Below are 21,823 nucleotides of genomic sequence, written 5' to 3' on the forward strand. Positions count from 1 at the left end.
TATGGCATGGCATGCATCTGTATACGCGAAATTCCAGAATAAGCAAGCTAACCTATGATAAGAAAGAGACTGGCTGGGAAGAGTGAGAGTTCACTTTCTGGGGTGACATAATAGTGTAGATCTTGGCTGGGCACGGTGGTTCATGCCTGTAATCCCAACACTTTGGGAGGCCGAGGCAGGCGGATCACCTGAGGTCGGGAGTTCAAAACCAGCCTGACCAACATGGAGAAACCCTATCTCTACTAAAAATACAAAATTAGCTGGGAGTGGTGGCACATGTCTGTAATCCCAGCCACTCGGGAGGCTGAGGCAGGAGAATCGCTCGAACCTGGGAAGCAGAGGTTGCGGTGAGCTGATATTGCCCCATTGCACTCCAGCCTCAGCAACAAGGGAGAAACTGTCTCAAAAAAATAAATAAATAAATAAAATAATGTAGATCTTGAAAGGGGGTTGGTTTATGCTGGTGTATGTACTTTCCAAAGTTAGTAAACTTACACTTAAGGTTATATATTTTGGCCAGGCGCGGTGGCTCACGCCTGTAATCCCAGCACTGGGAGGCCGAGGCAGGCAGATCACGAGGTCAAGACATGGAGACTATCCTGGCGAACATGGTGAAACCCAGTCTCTACTAAAAATACAAAAAGTAGCCAGGCGTGGTGGTCTACTAAAAATACAAACATTAGCCAGGCGTGGTAATCTGAGCTACTCAGGAGGCTGAGGCAGGACAATTGCTTGAACCCCGGAAGCGGAGGTTGCAGTGAGCCGAGATCTTGCCACTGCACTCCAGCCTGGGCAACAGAGTGAGACTCTGTCTAAAAAACAAACAAACAAAAAAAAGTCATCAAACCAGATGACACAAATCAAATGACATTTCACTTTGTTTTGGTCCGTTTTGTCTGTTGGAGACAAGAGTGCAACAGCGCCATCTCGGCTCACTGCAACGTCCAGCTCCTGGGCCCAAGCGATCCTCCCACCTCAGCCTCTCCAGTAACTGGGATAACAGGTACGCACCACCAGGCCCGACTAATCTTTTTTGGAATTTTTTGTAGAGATGGGGTTTCGCTATGATGCCCTGGCTAGTCTTCAACTCCTGGACTCAAGTGATCTGCCCACCTCAGCCCCCTAAAGTGCTGGGATTACAGGCCTGAGCTGTGTAATTTCATGCCGCGTGACACAGCCCAGTAAAAAGGAAGAAACCCCGCGGGTCCAGCGTCTACTCACACAGGTGGACTGATGGCTGATAAATCCCAGCAGGAGCCAAAAGAGCAGCCACAGCACCCATCTACTCACACAGGTGGACTGATGGCTGATAAATCCCAGCAGGAGCCAAAAGAGGAGCCAAAAGAGCAGCCACCGCACCCGCATGTCCTGGTCCTTTCAGGGCGCCCTGAGGCAGCCAGGACAGAGGTGGAGGTGGCTTAGGGCAGGGGGGAGGGAAGGGGACGGGGACCGGGCCGGATCTGAGTTGGGGAGGGGGAGGGGAGGGGGAGGGGAGGGGGAGGGGAAGGGGGGAAGTAAGGGAAGGGAAAGGAGGAGAAGGGGGCTGTTGGGGAGGAGGAGGAGGAGAAGAAGAAAGGGGTCTGGGAAAGGATCCGGTTCAAATTAAGTTCTCAAGCGCTGGTGGAAGGTTTAGCTACAGGTCACGGAGAAGATCAGGGAAGCAACAGGACAGGCGGGGCAAGGGAGCGTGAGGCTTAGGAGCAATTAGAGGGAGACAAAGGTTCTGCTTTCCACCAAACCTTCTTCGGTCTGGGCCCTCCCTTAGCAACCCTGGGGCTTTAGACTCTCTCTCCACCAATCCCTGATGACCCCGGTGGTGCCTCACAATGGACATTCCAAGTAGCGCCCGCATCATCCCAATGACCCCTCCCCCATCTCAGTCCCCCACGCTCCTCCCAAGGCCAGGTCCTCTCTGGAACCTTCACAAACCTGACTTCTGGTCCTCCCCAACCAGCTCCCTGTCCCTGCTTCTGGGCGCTCCTTCCTTCCTGAGCTCCCAGGGTTCCTCAAGGTCACTTTTGGCGACAAAACATAAAAAACAAATGATGGCAGGATGGCAGGAAGAACCTCATACCCAAGCAGAGTGCCAGGTTGTACAGCCTCCGCTCAGCCATTCATATCCTAAGCAACAAAACATCAGCAGGATGCGGAAGGTCCCGATAGTAAACCATCTCCATCACATCCATGTAGCCATCCGTCCATCAACCTGTATCTCAGGAACAAATGTACATACATTCATTTTAAGCATGCATGGTACATTTACAAAAATTAACCTGACTTATTTTGTTCCAGCAAATCTCAATATATTTGAGAGCAATCAAATCACACAGCATGTTTCTGATCATAAAACTGTGCTAGAAGTCAATGATTAAAAGCTAATTCAAAATTATTATTTGCTTGGAAATTCAAAGTGCCCTTATAAGACATAAACATAAGAAAGAATCCAAAATGAAACAAGATTGCCTTTCAACTCAATGATGAGATCATAACATGGCAATAAAATGTCTCCCTCTGGCCTGGGAATTCCTCTTTGTGGCACAAGGTTGTGTGATCTCAAATCACCCCTAACCCACCTAGACATTTTAACATCCGAAACTGAGTGATGATGTCCTTATCTATGTCATCTTACTGCCCGTGTGTGTGGACTTTAAATTCTGAACCCAAATGAGGGGGAGAAAACCAAGCTGACTTTCATGACTGAGCTCTCAGGGACGTCCAAGGAATCTGTGCATTTCAAGAAACAAAGTTCATCAGCTTCTCTCCTAAGGTATTTGCCCACAATACCCAGAGGGCTTGGCCGCATCATGTGTGATGGGTGGGGAGCTCCAAGCAGGCGGGCAGGACCCAGGGGCCTGGTGACCAGGACAGACCCCCACTGTCCATCACCTTTCCTGGCCCTGTCCTCAGCTAAACTTCCCACAGGCCTTCTGCCCGATCACACAGAGTGTGCCCAAACTCTCTCAGGCCTCTGGCAGCTGAAAACCACTGCTTTAAATCCCTTTACCATTTACTATGACATAAGGTTATTGTAAACAGGAAATATTCTATTGATGCTACAAATGGAAAGCCAATGCCTTTACCATAAATAGAAAAACAACCCTAAGAAACAAGCAAAACAAAAACAAAACAGGGGCTGGGGGTGGTGGCTCACGCCTGTAATCCCAGCACTTTGGGAGGCCGAGGTGGGCAGATCACAAGGTCAGGAGTTCCAGACCAGCCTGGCCAATATGGTGAAACCCTGTCTCTAATAAAATACAAAAATTAGCCGGGTGTGGTGGTGGGCACCTGTAGTCCCACCTACTTGGGAGGCTGAGGCAGGAGAACAGTTTGAACCCGGGAGGCAGAGTCTGCAGTGAGCCGAGATTACACCACTGCACTCCAGCCTAGACGACAGAGCGAGACTCTGTCTCAAAAACAGCAACAACTACAAACAAACAAAAAACAGGATTAACAAAACTATGGAATTCAATTCTATTTATATGCTGCAGCCATGTTCCAGCCCTAGATTTGGCTGGGCATGGTGGCTCACGCCTGTAATCCCAGCACTTTGGGAGGCTGAGGCAGGCGGATCACGAGGTTAGGAGTTCGAGACCAGCCTCACCAACATGCTGAAACCCCGTCTCTACCAAAAATACAAAAATTAGCCAGGCATGGTGGCACACGCCTGTAATCCCAGCTACTCAGGAGGCTGAGGCAGGACAATCCCTTGAACCCGGGAGGCGGAGGTTGCAGTGAGCCGAGATCGTACCATTGCACTCCAGCCTGGGTGACAGAATGGAATGAGACTCTGTCTCAAAAAAAAAAAAAAAAAAAAAGAAGCCCTAGATTTCGGTTGTGTTGGTTGTAAAAGGAGAGACCCAGTAAGTGGGGGTTGTGCCGCAGATTGCTACCCACAATGGACGGGTCACTGAGCAGGTCCGGCCAACTGGGCGTTCCCTCGCTGGAGGGCCAGCACACCAGACTGCAGGTGGCGCGGGTCAGCAAGGTACCAGGGGATGTGTCACACACACAGCCCACCCCCGTCCAGTCACGCACGGACACCCTGGGCTTCCGAGCAAACCTGCTCCCACGTGGTGTGACCACATGGAGCCACAGACACCCAGCAAGGACACGCAGCCCGCACACCCCCGGTACTCCAGACACAGTGACCTGCACCAGGGCTCGAGGTTTCTCTAGGGAACCCACCTCTTAGAATCATCCAGAAACAAGTCACTCTTCACCTGTCCAGCAAAGGCCTGCTGAGAGGTGCACAGTGTCTGGAGTCCAAGCTGCGCCAAGGCGGCAGGACCCCCAGCCCAGCCCAGGACCCCCAGTAGAGCCCTCACCTCAGCGTGGAGGCCTGAGAACGTGAGGAAGGAGCTGTCCAGCACGGACGAGTCCAGGCAGCTGTCGATGTCCAGCACCTACTGCCCGGCAGGTGTGGGGCTCAGGCTCCCAGCCACCTGCAGGACGACGGCAGTGGTCAGCGGGCGGCAGCTCAGACCTGCTCAGGACAGGGATGAGAAGCCACCTCCTCAGCAGACAGGACAGAGCCCGGTGCCATCTAACAGAATGTCCTAGAATGCTGGATATATGGGACATCTGCACCGTCCGTGATGGCAGCCCCTCGCGACATGTGCCACTGAACACTTGACAGCAGACTGGTGCAGCTAAGGAACAGAGTTTTGAATTTCATTTTTTTTTTTTTTTTAAGATGGAGTCTCGCTCTGTCACCCAGGCAGGAGTGCACTGGCGCAATCTCAGCTCACTGCAACCTCCACCTCCCGCGTTCAGGCGATTGTCCTGGCTCAGCCTCCTGAGTAGCTGGGATTACAGGTGCCTGCCACGATGCCCAGCTAATTTTTTGTATTTTTAGTAGAGACGGGGTTTCACTGTGTTGGCCAGGCTGGTCTTGGAACTCCTGACCTCAAGTGATCTGCCCGCCTCCGCCTCCCAAAGTGCTGGGATTACAGGTGTGAGCCACCACGCCCGGCCATCGTTCCATTTTAATTAACTTTAATACGAGCAGCCACATGTGGCCTCTGGTTCCTGCCACGGACTCGGGAGCAACCCCTCCTGGTCGCGGCTTATGCGCCTTCTCTGTGTGCTGCTGGGGTTAGTTTGCATGTAACCTCTTGAGGACCCCACGTGTGCATTCCTAAGGGGTGCGGCCTCCCGTTTCCGTATGAATGGGAAGAGTTCCCACCTGCTGTATTCTTGGAAAGAGTCTGTGAAGGATTGGTGTTAATTCTTCCTTAACTGCTTAGAAAAATTCTATCGTGAAGGCTCTGAGCCCAAGCTTTTCTTTGTGGGATTTTTTTTTTCTTTTTTTTGGAGATGGAGTCTTGCTCCATTGCCCAGGATGGAGTGCAGTGGCGCAATCTCGGCTCACTGCAAGCTCCGCCTCCTGGGTTCATGCCATTCTCCTGCCTCAGCCTCTCGAGTAGCTGGGACTACAGGCGCCCGCCACCATGCCCAGCTAAGTTTTTGTATTTGTAGTAGAGACAGGGTTTCATTGTGTTGGCCAGGCTGGTCTCGAACTCCTGACCTCAACTGATCTGCCCGCCTCGGCCTCCCAAAGTGTTGGGATTACAGGCGTGAGCCACCGTGCCTGGCCCTTTTTAATGTTTTATATAGATGGGGTCTTGCTATGTTGCCCAGGCTGGTCTCAAACTCCTGGACTCAGATCCGCCCACCTCGGCCTCCTGAAGTGTTGGGATTACAGGCGTGAGCCACCACACCCGGCCCGGCCACTGGGAGGTTTCTAAGGGACTAACTCGGCCTCTTCACTTGCTATAGATGTACTGAGATTTTCTTCTGGAGTGCATTTCGGAAGCGTGCACAGCCGCGTGCTTGCTTCTTCTGAGTTATCTGGCGTGCTGCTGTGCAGTTGTCCGTGGCGTCTGCTTAGCGAAGTGCCCTCGTTCTTTCACGATTCTGGCTTCTGAGTCTTCTCTCTTTCTCCCTGGTCAGTCTAGCTAAGGCTGCTCAAGTGTGTTGACCCTTCCCGAGCAGCCTTTGGTGGACGCCTTTCCCTCTGGCTGCAGCACTGGAAAGTGGCGGCCCTGGGCATGGTGCCGAGGCCCAGGCTCCATTCCCAGTACTCCCGGGTCCCCAGCCCCAGCCCACCTTGCTCCGGGACATCCGGAAGAGAAAGAGGATGGCCAGGTAGACGGGATAGACAACCACGCTGGACACCAGGCCAACAGCGACTGTGTCGACGCTCAGCGGGCTCAGCCTGGACACATGCCCCGTGCTGTGTGGAGGAGAGGAGGCCACACAGGTGAGGCTGAGGGGCAGGAAGGGCTGGGCAGGAAGAGGCTGTCCCGACCCCTACGGCACCCACCTGTAGGCAGAGTCACCAACAGCCCCGTACCACACGGCGTTGGCGCCCAGGAAGAGGCAGATGAGGAGAACGCAGCAGGTGGCCCTCTGGATGCGAGTGAAACAGCTACGAGGTGGCCGGTCCCATATGGAGAGCCAGATGTGCTTGTCAAAGAAGCCACGCTGCAGCTCAGCCACCAGCAGGCGCCGGAAGCGCAACAGGGCTGCGTGACCTAGAAGGCAGGGAGGGCCGCACTGCAGGAGGCCACGGGGCAGGACCACCCTGCCCAACCTCCCACGGAGTGGGAACATGGAACGAGGCCTTACTCGCAGCCAGCACCTCCTTCTCCACCAGGCCCCCGTTGGCCTCCGTCTCCACCGAAAGCCAGTCATTGACCAGGAAGAAGGTGCTGCGTGCCGTCTGCAGGTCCCTGACGATGATGTGCTGCAGGAACCAGGCAGGGCTGAGCCCTGCAGAGGCGCGGGAGGGAGGTCAGGCTCGCAGGGCGCCCCAATGCGGGGGCAGAGGGGCAGAGCTTGGCAGGGTCCGCACAGACCTTTGTTGTCGTGCCACACTCGGATCTTCCACACGCTACCCAGGCTGTGCGGGGTGGCGATCCGGAAGATGTCCAGACTGTTGCGGTGGAAGGCTCTGTCGCCGTCCAGGTGCCGGTGGCCGCTCCGGCTGTCCACCCCATACAGCATGATGCCCACGTGGGCCGTGGTACCTGGAGGGCAAGAGGGAGGGGTGGGAGGCTCGGTCTGCTGCCCAACACGTGTGGCATCCCAGGCAAGTCATCTCAGCTTTGGCCTCCGCGCACTCAAGGAGCCACACAGGCAGTCCCGGCTTTGCACGGCTCTGCCATACACGAGGAGCTGCGGTTACTGCAATTTGTCCAATAAACAGCAGGACCTCAAGGACATGATTAAGTTACACGGAAAGAACTGTAACTTGTGACATGCAAACATGGCTGCACACGCCTCAGTCCACACCACAACCAGTGACCCGCGCTGCACACCTGTCCACGCCTCAGTCACGCCACAACCAGTGACCCGCACCACACACCCGTCCCTCAGTTCATGCACAGACTGCGAAGCGTGAAGCTGTGTCACCTCCTCTCCCAGTGACAGACCCAGGTGACAGTATTTTTTTTCTTTTTTTTTTTGAGATGGAGTCTTGCTGTGTCACCCAGGCTGGAGTGCAGTGGCGCAATCTCAGCTCACTGCAAGCTCCGCCTCCCGGGCTCACGCCATTCTCCTGCCTCAGTCTCCCGAGGAGCTGGGACTACAGGTGCCTGCCACCACGCCGGGCTAATTTTTTTGTATTTTTTAGTAGAGACAGGGTTTCACCGTTAGCCAGGATGGTCTCGGTCTCCTGACCCCGTGATTTGCCTGCCTCGGCCTCCCAAAGTGCTCGGATTACAGGTGTGAGCCACCACGCCCGGCCGACAGTTTTTAAAAGTAGGTAATCAAAAGAACTGGGAAATGAAGATGAAAGCAACACGGAAATAAAAAATGGGAACACAGCCAGGTGTGGTGGCTCACACCTGTCATCCCAGCACTCTGGCAGGCCGAGGCAGGCGGATCACCTGAGGTCAGGAGTTCGCCTGGCTGACATGGTGAAAAATTAACTGGGTGTGGTGGCGTGCACCTGTACTCCCAGCTACTCAGGAGAATCGCTTAAGGGGAATCGCTTAAACCCAGGAGCTGGAAGTTGCTGTGAGCCAAGATCACGCCATTGCACTCCAGCCTGGGCAACAGAGTGAGACTCCGTCTCCAAAAAAAGAAAAACGAAAACAAAAAGGGAATGCCAGAAGGGCAATTCCAATAAAGGAAAATGGAGGTATTGAAGAAACAGCCACGGGGAGGGTGCTGGCACCTCCGTCTGAGAGACGAGCTATGCAGTCAGGATCGCGGGTGGATGCATGGTCTCCCACAGTGGTAGCGATGCTCATGTCACTTGTGGGGCCACGCTACTGTGCAGAACGTGGGCTGCCCACCCTGACTGACTGGCACCTACTTCCAGCTAGGAGCTGTCCTAGTCCTCAGGGACAGTGAGTGCTCACGAGGTCATTCCCAGGATGAACACACGAGCCCTTCACACAGCACTGCAAAAACTGCCTTGTTCTGACGCCTGCGACGAGACTCACTCCCAGAGGGTGCAACCAGCACAGCCAGTGAGAGCAGGGGAGGCCCTGCCACCCCGCCGCGCCCCTCACCTGAGCCCCGGCCCCAGCCTGTCTTGACGAGGATCTCGTACTTGAAGCGGCCCCGCTGCCCACAGAAGGGGATGGCGCAGCCCCGGCTGGCATCCAACTGGTCCAGCTTGTGCAGGATGGCGGCCATGACCATGTAGGTCACCAGGCACACAGCACATGTCAGCATGACGATGTAGTTTACATCCGCTGTCGGCTCCTGTGAAGACACAGCCGCCGGGCCCAGGAGGTCACGTGCAAGCTGTGCCTTCTCAGGATAGAGCCGAGCCCACCCAGGCCCTCCTCGACTCTGCAGAGGCTCCCAGGAGCACAGGGTCACTCACAGGAAACACAAAGCGTACATGGCTTGGGGGCATGAAGAGGCTGGCGCCGAAGGCGGTGAGGTGGCGGGTGAGGCAGACGGCCTGGCGGGGCGAGGTCTCCTCCAGGGGCAGCAGCCCCTCTGTCCGCCACACCACATCCTCCTCGCTGAAGTACTGGCACAGGGACGTGTACAAGCCCACGGACACCTCCAGCGCCGACCAGCGGAAGTGGCTGGAGAGGTTCAGACGGTAACTCCCCACTGGGTCTCTGGTCCTGGGAAGGGAAGGGGCAGTGGACGTGAGCCCAGGCTCCGCCAGGTTGGATGTCGGAGTCCCAGAGCCCATACCCGGTCCAGTCCCCTCGCTGCCTGCCGTCCCCACGGGGCCCGTAACCCGGGCAATGCTGACCCATGATGCCCTGCCCTGCCCTGCCAGGCCGGCCCGCAGAGCTCACCCCGGGGAAATGAAGAAGGTGTAGGGCCGGTGGTCGGCACCCTGGAGGGACTCTGGGCGGATCCTCCTGCTAGCCGAGCAGTTGCGCTCATTGGGCCGGGGCTCCGAGTGCAGGTAGACTGCCAGGTAGGGCTCGGGTTCCTCAGACAGGTAGCGGCCTGGGGCAGAACGCGCAGGTCACACGCCTGCCGGGAAGCTCAACCACCCGGGGGACACCCACGATGGCCCTCCTGAGCCCACCCTCTGCCACGGGCCTGAAAGGCCATAGGAGCCTCTGCACCAGAGCTGGCACCTGCTTCTCCGTGGCCCCCAGCTCCTCTCCGGCCAGGCCCCCAACAGCCCATGAAACAGCAAATTTCACCAGAGACACCCATGGAAGCCCTACGAGAAACGCCTTCCCCCCAAGAACAAGGCCAGGGGGCCGCGTGTGCCCCACCCGCTGCACACACCGTCCAGCAGCGTATAGTTGAGCTGCAGATGCAGCACGGCCACAGGGCTGCTGCTGTCCAGGGTGACCACAGCACCGACGGAGGCCTGGGGCTGGACCACAACGGAGTTGGCGGAGCTGCGGTGGCCCCGGGCAGCCCAGTCCGAGTTGTTGGGCACCTTCACGGTGATGGCGCGCTCTGAGGCCAGCCGCTCGATGGGGATCTGGGCGCCGGCCTGTGTCTGGAACGCCATCGAGGCCACCTTGGTGGAGACGGTGTAGTTGCTGATATAGCCAAAGAGAAAGGGATTGGAGTCCACCAGAAAGACGAGCTGCACCACGTCACTGAGGTTGGCGGGGGCCCTGCTGAAAGCCTAGGGGATGGAGAGGTGGCAGCCAGGCCCTGGGGCGCCGCCATAGCACAGCAGGCTCCGCGGGTCCGAGCGCTTGCCCTGGGCCATGATCTCCTCGCCCGCCAGCGTCACGGGCTCCTCGTTGAGCACGCGGGAGCGCGTGAGGATGCGCATGAGGGCAGAGGTCAGGTTGTAGGCCTGGGACGCCACCATCCGCAATGGTGACTCGGCTCCCAGCTCTGAGCGCTGCGGTGCCCGCACGTCTGAGCTGGCCAGGTGGATGAGGTCTCCTGCAGACAGGCGTGAGGTCAGTGCAGAGACAGGGAGGCAGAGGGAGGGTGGGGGCAGGCAAAAAGGGGGAGCCGGAGGGTGGGGGCTGGGAGAAAGGGGGAACCTGAGGGGGCAGAGAGCGAGGTGCAGGCAGAAGGAAGAGGGAAGCTGGAGAGAGAGTGGTGGAGGGGGAGGGGGAAGGGGATGGGGATGAGGACGAAGATGAGGGGGATGATGGGGAGAGGGAGGAAAAAGGAAGGAAAAGGGTAGAGAAAAGAGAAAGGGGAGAAGAAGAGGAGCAGGGTGAAAGGGAGGGGAAGGGGATAAGGGGGATAAGGGAGGGGAAGGGGGATAAGGGAGGGGAAGGAGGATAAGGGGGATAAGAAAGATGAGGGGAATGGACAAAAGGACGGGGAGGATCGGGGGGGAAATGGAGAAAAGGGGAGAGAGATGGAGAAAAGGGATGGTAATAGGGAAGGGGGAGGGGGAGGAGAATGGGAATTGGGGGAGGGGGATAAGGATGGGAATTGGGGGAGGGGGATGAGGATGGGAATTGGGGGAGCGGGATGAGGATGGGAATTGGGGGAGCGGGATGAGGATGGGAATTGGGGGAGGGGGATGAGGATGGGAATTGGGGGGAGGGGAGGGGGACGAAGATGGGATGGGGCAAAGGCGAGGCGGTTGTGGGGAGGAGGGAGGCAGAGGAAAGGGCGGCATGGGGCGGACGGGCCACGTGGGGCGGGCGGGTGGCGTGGGGCACGGGCCGCGGCACCTGTGATGTTGAGGATGCTGTCTCCGATGGCGGTGGGCGTCACGGTGCCCGCGGTGGTCTCTGCCTGCAGGATGCGCATCATGGCCTCCAGCTTGTGCAGCGTCTGCTTCAGGCACGAGCGGCATACGAGCTCCCTGCTGGGCCCCTGTGTGGAGCCAGCAGTGTCCAGCCCCGCTCCTGGCCCCACTCCTTGCACACGCCCTCCTCTCTACACGGGTCCTCACCTGGCTCCCACCCCCAGCCCTGCAGCTGGAGAGCCCACTTGACTGGACCCCCACAGCCTCCTCACTAAGCATTTTTTGTGGCTCTGCATGACCCAGGGCCTCCACCTGGGGAACACGTGATGCAGCCCACCGACCACACAAGGCACCTCTTCACATGAGAGAAGGAGGAGGGCAGAAGGGAGAGAGGAGAGGGAAGTGGAGAAAAGGGGGGAGAGGAGAGGGAAGGAGAGAGAAGGGGGAGAGGAGAGGGGAGGGGAGAGAAGGGGGGAGAGGAGGGAGGGGGAGGAGGGGAGGAAGGAGGAGGGGAGGGGTGAGGGGATGGAGGGGCTGGGGGAGGAGTGGAGGGGCTCAGCGGGATGAGGTGAGGGGAAGGTCTAGGGGAGGGGAGGAGGGGAAGGGCTAGGGGAGGGGAGGGGCTGGGGGAGGAGGCAGGGGCTAGGGGAGGGGGGAGGGACTAGGGGAGGGAAGGGGGAGGGGAGGGGTTAGGGGAGGGAAGGGGAGGGGAGGGGCTAGGGGAGGGAAGGGGGAGGGGAGGGGAGAGTGGAGGGCACAGAGCAGCATCTTCTTAGTCCCTCCCCACATCTGGGCCCCTCTTTACACCCTGGGTCCCCCGAGAGGCACCCTGCGTTCACACAGGACAGCAGAATGGCTGAGGCTACTGAAGCAGGTCAGAGACCGAGGAACGCCATGGCAGGAAGGAGCCCAGGCTGGAGGCTCAGCTCCTCGGCCAAGCTGCCCGTCTGCCCTGGGGGGCTGAACCCAGTACCCTGGCAGGCATGCGGGGCGGGGAGAGCATGTGGGGCCATCCTACCATGCACTGGGCCAGCGCAGCAGCGATCTGCTGGATGTCATCCACAGTGTGGACCCTCAGGGACACCAGAGTCTCCGTGATGTTCTTGCGTATCTGGGCTCGGCGCTGCCGCTCGTGCTTGGGCTCTGCCGCCACGTCCAGGGCCCGCTCGTACTGGGGCAGGCAGGGGGCACAGCAAGCTGTCAGCAGGGCAGGAGGCCGGCAGGAGGCCAGCAGATGCCCACGACTCCCGGGGTGCAGTTACGTGCTAGATGCTGTGTGATGTGGGCACTGACCCGCAACACTGAGCTGTTTCTTCATGGGCAAAACAGGGTAAGCACATGGGCCCTCCTGGGCGGGGGCTGCATTGTGGAAAGCAGACGCCGGAGAGGGCCCGGTGGGTGTGGCTGCTGGGAGCGGAACGTCGGGGTGCTGCTTCAGGGTCACTGGGATTTATCTCTGGGGCCCGGGATGAGCCCTCCGCAAAGCTCCAGGCAGGGGAACAGGTCTTGGTCCCCAGCACGCATGCAGCAGATGTGAGGTCCCCTCCCAGGCTGCACTCACCTCGTTCAGCACAGTGACCAGGGCCAGCGAGTACTCGATGACGTGCTGGGGATCGGCCTGCCGCAGCAGCCCCGGGAGCACACTAGCGGTGAGCCCGTGCAGCCAGACTGTGAGCCCCATTGCGCTGCCGTTGGGCTCTGGGAGGGTGATGGCCAGAGACCTACGAGCAGAGGGGGGTGGTGAGTAGGTGGCAGTCTCGGGGGCGCCCTCCCACGGCCTGGCTCACCTGTTGAGGGCGACCACAGCGGCTCCCAGCTGGTCCTGCACCACCACGGCCAGGCCCACCTCGAAGTGTGGCCTGAAACCCGGGGGCAGCACGGCTCCGTAGCCGGAGAGGCTGCCCTTGTAGACACAGAACTCCTCGCAGTGGCCCTGGCGACAGCGCTGCAGCAGCAGGGCGTACACCAGCGGGGCGCCAGCATCCTCCGCGTCATGCCAGCCTGAGGGACGGTCCCCACGGCATCACGGGAGGGCTCCGTGACCTCACAGAGTCGGGGGATCCCGCTGCTCCCCCTACGCAGGCCTGCACTCACCCATGCATTCGAAGTGCACCTTGGTGGTGAGAGCGTGCACAGCGCCCAGTGGGAAGAGGCGGCAAGAGCCCCCCAGCGGCGGGCGGTTGGGGGACAGGGGGATGGAGGCGCAGCCCTCCTCCTTGCCAGAGCGGCCCAGCACCGTCAGCGTGAAGGTGTATCCCTCGCCGTCCCGCAGCACGCCCCGCCGCAGCACCAGTCACATGCCTGCGCTGCCCGTGGATGTGGTGGTCTCATCCAGCACCAGCGTCTTGTTGCTGAACGTACGTGCAGCCCACCGCTGCAGGCAGAAGGGATGGTGAGGGGGCGCAACCCTCTGCCCTGTCAGCCCCACTTCTGCCTGCAGGCCCCGTCCCCTCGGCCATGGGACCCATCCCCAACCCGCCCACACCCCGCTCAACACTCACCCCTCGCTTGGAGCCGCTGCTGCAATTGAGGCAGCGGCCCTCCAGGTACACGTAGGAGCTGCGGCTCACTTCGTACACGGCCTGTGCCTTGCAGGACACACACTCCAAGGACACAATGGGCACCCGGCCACTGCGGATCAGCACCTGGCGTGGGAGTGGGGTTACCTCCAACACAGGTCTATTTGGCCTGCTGGAAGGTCTGGGGGACCCGTGGAGGATGCTGCTCCCAAACTCCAGGTTTCCCAGGGGCCTGGCCACTGCCGGTGAGCTCACCCCCTCCCAGGATACTCATCCGGTTTGCCACCTTCCAACCTGGGCGGCGGAAGGGCATACACAGGGCAGAGGACACTGGGGTGTGCGTTCTGGTGTACTGGAGCCAGCTGGACCCTGGCAGGAGGCAGGCAATGCTCACTGAGGGCCCCTGGGGGGATGCGTGTGGGAACAGACGTATGTGTGGGTGTGAGGACCGCAGTTGCCACGTAGGCCTGACTCACAGACTCCTGCAGCCCTTAGCCAGGGCCTGGGTCAGGAGGCTGAGCCGGGATGGAACCTGCTCCCACACCCTCCCCTCAGACGACCCCTCTGGGCAGACCCCCAATCAGGCCAGCTGAGGAAAGCAGGGACTGGGGAACAGACACCCACTCTGGGGTACCAGCAGGCCCCAGTCAGGGAGGCGCACACGCTCACAGAGGGCAGGGAGGCGCACACGCTCACAGGCACCTGCTGCGTCCGGTTCTCGAAGGCATTAGATGCCAGCAAGGTCAGGACGTACTCACCTGTGGGGACAGGCCCAAGTGGGGCAGCCGCGGCACCCCCACCTGCTCCCCACCCGCTCGGCAGAAGCCCCCCGCCTGAGGAGCCCGGGGTGAACGGCTGCACCTGCGGCCCAGCCTTAAGGGTCCCAGGCTCCCAAGCCACGTGCGGGACGGAGCACAGGTGCAGCAGCACTGAGGGCTGCCTGGTGAGGACGGCACCGCCTCCAAGTGCAGCTGCACTCGGGGCAGCAGAGCAGCAAGAGCCAGGCCGCGGTGGGGGGCAGTTCAGGGGGCCCAGCTTCCCTGTCCACTCCTCCCACGCCTGGCCCCTCCCTCACCCCAGTAGGGGCCTAAGCCATCAGCCCAGGTGAGGTCACAGTGAGGGCTGTTGGGGAGGAAGCGGGGCAGCTTGACTGGGGGACTGGGGGGGCCCCGTGCTCAGAGCCTGAAAGGCAGTGGCCCCCTCACCCCCTCATCCCTCACCTGGGGCAGCGTAGGTGTGGGTGACATTGTGCTCCACCAGCACCTGGGCCACCGAGGGGTCTGGAACCGGGAAGGACTCGTTGTACGGAGGCTGGAACTGGTGGAGGGCCTGCTCCCCATCCCCAAAGGTCCACCTGCCGGGGCGGTGGGAGGCAGTGAGTGAACCGGGACAGGGGTGCGCAGTGGCGGGGCACAGGTGCGCGGTGGCGGGGCAGGGGGTGCTTGGGACCCAGCCGAGGCTCCACTCTGCAGTCACGCCCCGGGCCTCCATTCAGGGCCCACCCGGCTGTGCTGAGGCCTCTCCCGGCTCCCGTGCAGCCTCAGGGCTCCTGTGCACCCAGTACCTCCCAACAGACAGGGAAACCGAGGCTCAGAAAAGCAACCCCCTGATGTGGGGTCCCTCGGCTGAGGCTGGAGCCGGGACAAGAGCCTGGTGCCCGGACAAGAGCCTGGTGCCCACCCCAAACCGGCCCCTGAGTCACTCACAGGAAGGCCACCTCCACGGCCGAGTCCACCAGCACGCCCGCCGTCAGTGCCAGCGTGGCATTGGGGGACAGCACGGCTGGCACTGTAGAGACCCGCAGGCCCTGCATCCTGTTCATCCGCTCCACGGTGATGTTGTAGTTCACGGTGACGTTGCTCACGTGGTTGGAGGCCGTCAGCTGCAGGGACAGGCATCAGTGGGCCCAGGTGGCAGGTGAGAGGCCTGCCCTGCTTGGCGTCCCTCCCTCCACTCACCACAGCCATGGCAGCGTCCTCGGGCAGCATGAAGCAGAGCAGAAGGCAGAGGTGAAGGTGGAGCCCGCCCCCGCCCCGCCCCATCCCCTCCCCTCCCCACTCCCGCCCACCTACTGAGAGCTTGAAGACCGCCGCGCTCTGATAAATGACATTGAAGACCACGTTCTGGAAGGTCAGGGACTGCTTGTCGTTGATGGTCCACCGGAAGACCATGTCCGAGCCGGCCTCCACCACGGGGCTGTACCTCTGCGGGGGGACTGGTGTCAGCCTGGGCTCTGTGGAGGACTCTGCCCTTAGCCTGTCGCCTCCTGGACACACCTCCCGTCGGGCTGGAGAGTCCCACGCGGGGCACAGAGGAGAGGAGGTGCCCGGGGCTCTGCATGCCATGAGAGCCAAGCCCGGGCTGGGACACTGACTGTCCGGCTCTCCAGCCAGCCATGTAGTACTACTAATGCCTCAACCTCTCTGTGCCTCAGTTTCCCCATCTGTAAAGCAAACCTAGTACCAGCTACAAAGAGTCCACCTCTCTCTGAGTCTTCTCAGACCCTCCCGGGGCTCCTGCCCCAGCTCCTCAGCCAGAGAGCTCGGAGCAGTGAGGGGAGGCACACGGGCCTCACAGGGACAGCACCTACACTGGCTTACAGAACCCAGGACAGGCTGCACAGGTCACGCCATTTCTGATGGCCCCTCCCAAGGCCCCTGGTGAAGGGGCAGGTACCCGCAAGATGGAACAGCCCTGTCCCCCATGTACCCAGCATGGTGGCACTGCGGGCAGCCCGCAGTTTCCCATCAGGGGTTCGGACTCCACCTCAAAAGCCACTTGCTTTAGCCAGGCGAGAACACAGCAGAGGGCGTGAGAGACTCACGGGGACTCGTGTGAGGTCAGGGAGCGGAGTTTTAAATTCATTTCGTGAAATGAGACGGTGGAATGAGTTAGCGGAGCCGCTGTCAGAGCCGTGACTTTCCAGGAATTTAAAGCCCACCAGGTAGCCTGAGGAGCCAGCCAGCAGGACCTGCCCGGGGCCGACGTCCCCAGTAACTGGGCTGCTGCCCTCACTGGGAAGCCAGGCCTCAAGCCCTGTGTGAGCACCCTGTCTGCAGGCACCTGCCTGGGGGCTGGTGGTGGAGCCTCGGCCATACTCACCACTGGGACTCCCTGCAGTACACGGGCCTCGGGGCTGGGCGTGGCGCGGAGGCCACAGATGGGCTCCTCCGCCGTCACCCGCAGGCTGAGGTTGGCCCGGCTGGCGCTGTTTTCCACCACAACGTCCATCACGTGCTCCCCCTCACCGAGCCACGGCAGTGCTACCACTGAGAACAGGGTATCATTGGTCTCCCAGGGGCAGCCGGGCACGAAGGTGGCCACCAGGGCAGGGCAGGCATTCTCAAAGCGGGCGCTGACACTGCCCCCAGGCCAGCGAGCCGTGGCCGTGGCGCTGGCACCAGAGTCCACCTGGAGCACCGAGGCTGAGCCGTTGGTGGGCACGTAGAGGCGGCCGTCGCGGGGGGCAGGGTAGATGACCCGCAGCCCAGCCACTGGGGAGACCACGTCAAAGCTGCAGGACAGGTTGTGCCTGGACACGCCATTGCCCACCTCTGCCCGGACCTCATAGCGCCCAGGCAGCCGCAGCCCAGGGTTGGGCCTCAGGCCCAGCAGCACGGTGAGCTGTTCCGTGGCTGCAAGCAGCCGCAGGGCACAGGCAGGGCAGGCCCAAGTGCCCTCCAGCTGGGCTGGCAAGTGGGGCAGCCATGACGAGGCGTTGGCGGAGAGGTACGGGGCCTGGGGACCAGGGTGGCCGGGAGCCGGCGAGCAGTGCAGGAGGGCGCCAGGGCCAGCGTCGTGCTGCAAGCCAACGAGGTCACCAGGGAGCATGAGGACATCCTGGCTGTGGAGGGTGACCTGTGGAGAGGGAGGCAGGGCTGCATCACGTCCTCACGGTCATGGCCCGTGGACCCCTGCACGACGGATGAGGGTGGACACGCAGGGCTCCCCGCTTCGTCAGCCACACCTCAGGGAGCCTCCCCACAGTGCTCGTGACAAGGACAGGCAGGACAGTTGCAGACAGGGGGACACACGGGGAGAGGACACAGGCCAAGACCTGGCAGACAGGAAGGAGCGGCTGTGCTGGGAGAGAGGAAGAGGAGGCACAGCTCGTGCCAAGGGCCCAGGCGAGAGCTTCTCCCACTGGGAGAGGGGCAAGGGCACTGCAGAGGTCGGAGGTTGGAGGTCGGAGGTCGGAGGTCAGAGGTGGCAAGGACGTGGGAGGGGCCTGCAGGCTGGGTGTGCCTGCTGCGCAGACCCAGACCCTGGGCAGCAGACAGGAAGGTGGCCTGAGGAGATGCAGGGAACAGACCCAGGTCAGGGCCACACACCGAGTACTGCGCGGGGGGCCCCGCGGGAACGGAGAAGAGGAACTCTCTCCATAGCGCATAGGGGGCCCCGAGTAGCCCTGGCCCTGACGTGCAGCCATTGGCGCAGGCCTGGGGGTGGCAGGAGGCGTCCAGCGGCAAGCAGATGTTGGCTCCAGGGCACCAGCGTCCCCCTGGCATGCACGCGGGGACCAGCTGGGTCCTGTTGTCCGGGGACCTGCTCTCAGGCTCGCTGCCGTTCTCCGGGGTCCCTGCGAGGAGGGGAGGGTGTTGGGGCCCTCATTCGCCCACGGGCCACCGTCAGAGATGCCCAACTGCCTGCACCAGCGAGCCTGGCCTTGCTGTGAGGACAGGTCTCCCCGCCCGGGCAGCACTCCCAGCCCAGTGCTGCGTCCCTGTCTCCGGCCAGCTGACTGACCCAGGCCGGTCCCCAGGCAGGCCCCACCCGATCCACCCCCAGGACACCTGGAATGAGCTGGTGTCTCTGGAACCCCTGCTCTGTCCACCTAAGACTGGGAACCACTCTGATGGCCACAGGACCAGCAGACGTGAGAGCTCAGAGAGGCCACCCCGAGTCCTGCGGCGCCCACCACCCCAGAGTCCCACCTGCTGTGCTGAGGAGCCGGTACACCTGCAGCCGCAGCTGGGCGGGCCGCCGGAGCTCCTGGGTCCCAAATTCGGCCGTGGTGAGGAAGGCTTCACGGCTCAGACGCAGGCCCGGGAATACCATGACCTGGTGGGCAGGGGGCCGCCTCAGCTCCACAGACCCCATCCCAGCCTGAAGCCCAGACTCCCCCCACCCGAACTTCGCAGGAAGAGGGGAGGGAAGGAGAGCGAGCCATCGGACCCCCACAGGCCTGGCTCCTGTCGCTCGAGAGGAAGACTCCGATGGAAACTGTCCATGGGGGGCAGGACCCCTGACCTGCCTTTCAGGAATAACTCACCCACACTCAGAGAAAAGGCCTGGGGGTAATGTGAGTAAACGCTTTCCTCTCTGCACTCTGGATTTTCCCAACCATCTTCACTGGGCACAAGCAACATTAAGGCCCCCAAGTTTTTTGGCGAGACCCACAGTGGGCAGGGCAGGCGAGGCCTCCAGGGGCAGGCAGGAGGGCAGGTTATAGAACGTGGGGGGCCGACTACCTCCACGGGCTCGTGCGGGGCTGAGAGGCCGTCCTGCCGTGCCAGAGGCATCAGGGGTCCCTACAGGTCCCCACTGGGCGCTCCCACGAGGAGGTTCTCGGCATCCTGCACTGGGCCTGGGGTGGCAAGTGCACAGTGAGGCGCCGGGCCAGGGCCCAGGACACCAGGACGAACAGACTGGGGACCGAGCCGCCCGAGAACCCCCCCACCAGCCCCTCCTCCTCAGCCCAGGCTCCACCGCGGGCGCTCGGCAGGCCCCTAACCACAGCCAGCGTCTCAGGCCCCTGCCTGGCCCCTCGCACACCTCCAGGCCGCAGCTCGCAGACGTAGCTGTGCGGCGCTGAGCACAGGTCGGTGTTACACCACCCGGTGGGCCCGAGCCGGACGCAGTGCTCGGCTGTGGCTGGGTGTGGCTCCCCGGGCAGCCAGTTCTGGCAGCTCTCCAGGCTGAAGGCCTCGCCCTGCGGCGCTGGGCCCACCTCCACCCCCTGCACAGTCGAGAAGCCGATCCACATGTCTAGGCTCCTGGGGGCGGGTGTGGGATGGCAGGGGGCTCAGGGCACTCCTCCATCCTCCCACCCTCACAGCAGCCCGCTGGGAGCCCCGTCACTGTCCCCCTTTCCAGATGGGGAAACTGAGGCTCAGAGCCCGGAGAGCAGGGCCCACCAGCCCAGGCTCACAGCAGCACCCACCCACGGGGCCTGTGGGCACCGGCAGGGATCCCCGTGCAGGCCACCTCCCGTATGGCGTGCCCAGGAGTGTCCGGAGGCTGCCCCCAGCTCGCGTCCACCTCTGCATCTGCAGAGCTGACAGGAACGGCCCCACCGGCCGGCGCCACCTGCTCACCAGGGCCGGCCCAGCTCCCACCTCCCTCCTCCTGAGACTCCCCAGCCGCAGGCTCTGCCCCACTGCTTCAGAGATCTCCCAACCTATGGCCCCTCGGGGGGTGGGGCAGGCACCTGGTGACCCGGGAGACCAGGAAGCGCTGCACGGCGGGACTGTCCACCATTGCCAGGGTGGCCCCGGCCCAGGCCCGACACTGCTCCTGCGCCTGCAGCCAGGCCGCCTTCTCCACCACCAGGCGGTAGCAGTGCCCATTGCCAGAGAAGATCTCCGTGTCCGAGGGGCAGAGCGGGTGCACCGCTGGAGACCAGTGGGAACGAGGGTGTCAACGGTCAGTGTGGGCCCAAGACGGGGGTACCAGGCTCTGCCCCATCTGGATGGCCCTGGGGAGGAAGGGGAGTGGGCAGCAGACACTCACCTCGGGCCGGCTCCTCGCCCAGGGCCACGATGCTGTAGGCGGCCTCCAGGCCTGAACCACCGCGGTTCTGGATGCTGAGGTCGAGGCTCTCGTCACTCTGCACCGAGGACGGGCACACGAGCTCCAGGGCGGCAGGTGCCGCTTCCACCTGCACGTCTGTCCCCAGCAGGGCTGAGCCGGTCCCCAGGGCCAGCACGGCCGTCACGTGATAGCGCCCAGGCAGCACATAGCGATGCGAGGCAGCCGGCCCAGCGGCATCCACCTCGGGGGAGCCGTCTCCGAAGTCCCAGCGTGTGGCAGTGACAGGGAGCGGGGCAGCGATGTGGAAGGCTGCTAGCTGGCCGGAGGCCAGGGGTCCGTGGGGCCCCACCAGGGTGGCCCCTGGGGAGGCAGGGAAGACGTGCTGGAGGAGGGTGGGGCCCCTACAGGTGGGGGCAGGAGGCGGCGGGGGGCCGGAGCAGAGGGACAGGCAGGCGAAGGAGGCACTGGAGGGCTGGGCTGACCCACACAGGCACCAGCCCTGCTCGGAGAGGGCTGCGAGGCCCTGGCCGGTGGAGAAGCAGAAGGCGCTGCAGGCCTCTGGCTGAAGCAGGCCTTCGTGGGCAGCTGAAAAGGACACTGCTGCCACGGTGCCTGAGCTGTTGTCAGGGAGGCAGGCGACATACTCCTCACCTAGAAGAGGCAGCCACTGGACCCCGGGTTCTGCTCCTCCTGGCTCCACCCCACACCCCCCCATCCGCCCGCCGCACTCACAGGCTCCCATGCTGTTCCCTTGGCCCGGAGGCCCCCCCCAGAGAGGCCTTCCTGAGCCCTGCCCAGTGTCTGCAGGGCCCAGGTCCCACCTGGCTGGGAAGGACAGAGCTGCCCCACCCACCGGCACTCACCACAGCCACTGTCCAGCAAGGGGATGCCAAGCAGAGGCTGGCCAGCCAGGGAGCCAGGCCCAGCACACGTGGCTGCCTCGGGCTGCACCACCCGCACCTGCTGCTCCTCCGCCCATCGCGGCAGCCACGCCAGGCCACAGTCACACTCAAACGGGTTCCCACTCAGGTTTCTGCGGGGCAGGGGCAGGTGTTGGGGACCAGGTCTGGTGGGAAGGGTCTATGCCAGCCCCCCACTGGCAACCAGGCCCTGGAGCCACCCTGACAGCACCGCCTCCCCTGCCCCAACCAAGCCGGCACTGGGGGGCTCCAAGCAGGTAGTGAACTGCCCCCAGGATCTGGTCTCAAGCCTGGAAGGGGACACGGACCAACTGGGAGGGCAGAAGGGATACTGGGGGCCTGGGGTCCAGCCAGGACCCCACCCAAAGAACCACAACTTACATTTCACTTAAATTAAATAAATTAGCAAATATTCCTTCTTCTAACGTAGAAATCTTGTTGTTGCTTATATCCCTGGAAGAGAGGGGGGATTCGGCAAAGCTGACGGAAGCCCCCACAGCTGAGCAGCAAGAGGCGGT

The 21,823-nt window shown here is 61.7% G+C and overlaps 1 protein-coding gene, 1 non-coding gene and 2 pseudogenes across 3 annotated transcripts in view, besides 1 other annotated feature; all 4 read right to left on the reverse strand.

The window, feature by feature from the left end:
- Positions 1–6,211, reverse strand: part of NPIPA8 (nuclear pore complex interacting protein family member A8) — an 18,818-nt gene extending 12,607 nt beyond the window's left edge. Inside the window, exons 1-3 of the mRNA NM_001282511.3 lie at positions 6,109–6,211; positions 4,186–4,442; positions 2,075–2,206 (exon numbers count right to left, since the gene is read on the reverse strand). Of these exons, the coding sequence (NP_001269440.1) occupies positions 2,075–2,137 (63 nt within the window). The 5' untranslated portion in view covers positions 2,138–2,206; positions 4,186–4,442; positions 6,109–6,211. The remainder of the gene's footprint in view (positions 1–2,074; positions 2,207–4,185; positions 4,443–6,108) is intronic.
- The window catches only part of PKD1P4-NPIPA8 (PKD1P4-NPIPA8 readthrough), a 34,527-nt pseudogene that overhangs the window by 12,607 nt on the left and 97 nt on the right, over positions 1–21,823 (reverse strand). Inside the window, exons 2-28 of the transcript NR_146336.1 lie at positions 21,687–21,758; positions 21,249–21,418; positions 20,365–21,036; positions 20,063–20,246; positions 19,408–19,591; positions 19,104–19,219; positions 18,567–18,693; positions 17,964–18,211; positions 16,735–17,490; positions 15,705–15,836; positions 15,591–15,608; positions 15,339–15,514; positions 14,853–14,986; positions 13,615–13,758; positions 13,208–13,487; positions 12,901–13,114; positions 12,675–12,834; positions 12,132–12,284; positions 11,097–11,241; positions 9,724–10,344; positions 9,276–9,432; positions 8,843–9,095; positions 8,523–8,718; positions 6,861–7,031; positions 6,631–6,774; positions 6,326–6,536; positions 6,109–6,235 (exon numbers count right to left, since the gene is read on the reverse strand). The product of NR_146336.1 is annotated as a PKD1P4-NPIPA8 readthrough (transcript). The remainder of the gene's footprint in view (positions 1–6,108; positions 6,236–6,325; positions 6,537–6,630; positions 6,775–6,860; positions 7,032–8,522; positions 8,719–8,842; positions 9,096–9,275; positions 9,433–9,723; positions 10,345–11,096; positions 11,242–12,131; positions 12,285–12,674; positions 12,835–12,900; positions 13,115–13,207; positions 13,488–13,614; positions 13,759–14,852; positions 14,987–15,338; positions 15,515–15,590; positions 15,609–15,704; positions 15,837–16,734; positions 17,491–17,963; positions 18,212–18,566; positions 18,694–19,103; positions 19,220–19,407; positions 19,592–20,062; positions 20,247–20,364; positions 21,037–21,248; positions 21,419–21,686; positions 21,759–21,823) is intronic.
- Positions 3,875–21,758, reverse strand: PKD1P4 (polycystin 1, transient receptor potential channel interacting pseudogene 4; annotated as a pseudogene).
- Positions 11,483–12,274: an enhancer, noted in NCBI's record as "H3K27ac-H3K4me1 hESC enhancer chr16:18435865-18436656 (GRCh37/hg19 assembly coordinates)". NCBI's record gives its function as "activates a minimal SCP1, AML or CMV promoter by ChIP-STARR-seq in naive H9 embryonic stem cells {active_cell/tissue: H9 hESC(naive)}" and the evidence as "EXISTENCE:reporter gene assay evidence [ECO:0000049][PMID:30033119]".
- MIR6511A4 (microRNA 6511a-4) lies at positions 13,488–13,554 on the reverse strand. Its single transcript, NR_106971.1, has one exon. It is a non-coding gene; the product is annotated as a microRNA 6511a-4 (primary transcript).

Source organism: Homo sapiens, chromosome 16, assembly GCF_000001405.40.
Source record: "Homo sapiens chromosome 16, GRCh38.p14 Primary Assembly".
NCBI classification, from domain to species: domain Eukaryota; kingdom Metazoa; phylum Chordata; class Mammalia; order Primates; family Hominidae; genus Homo; species Homo sapiens.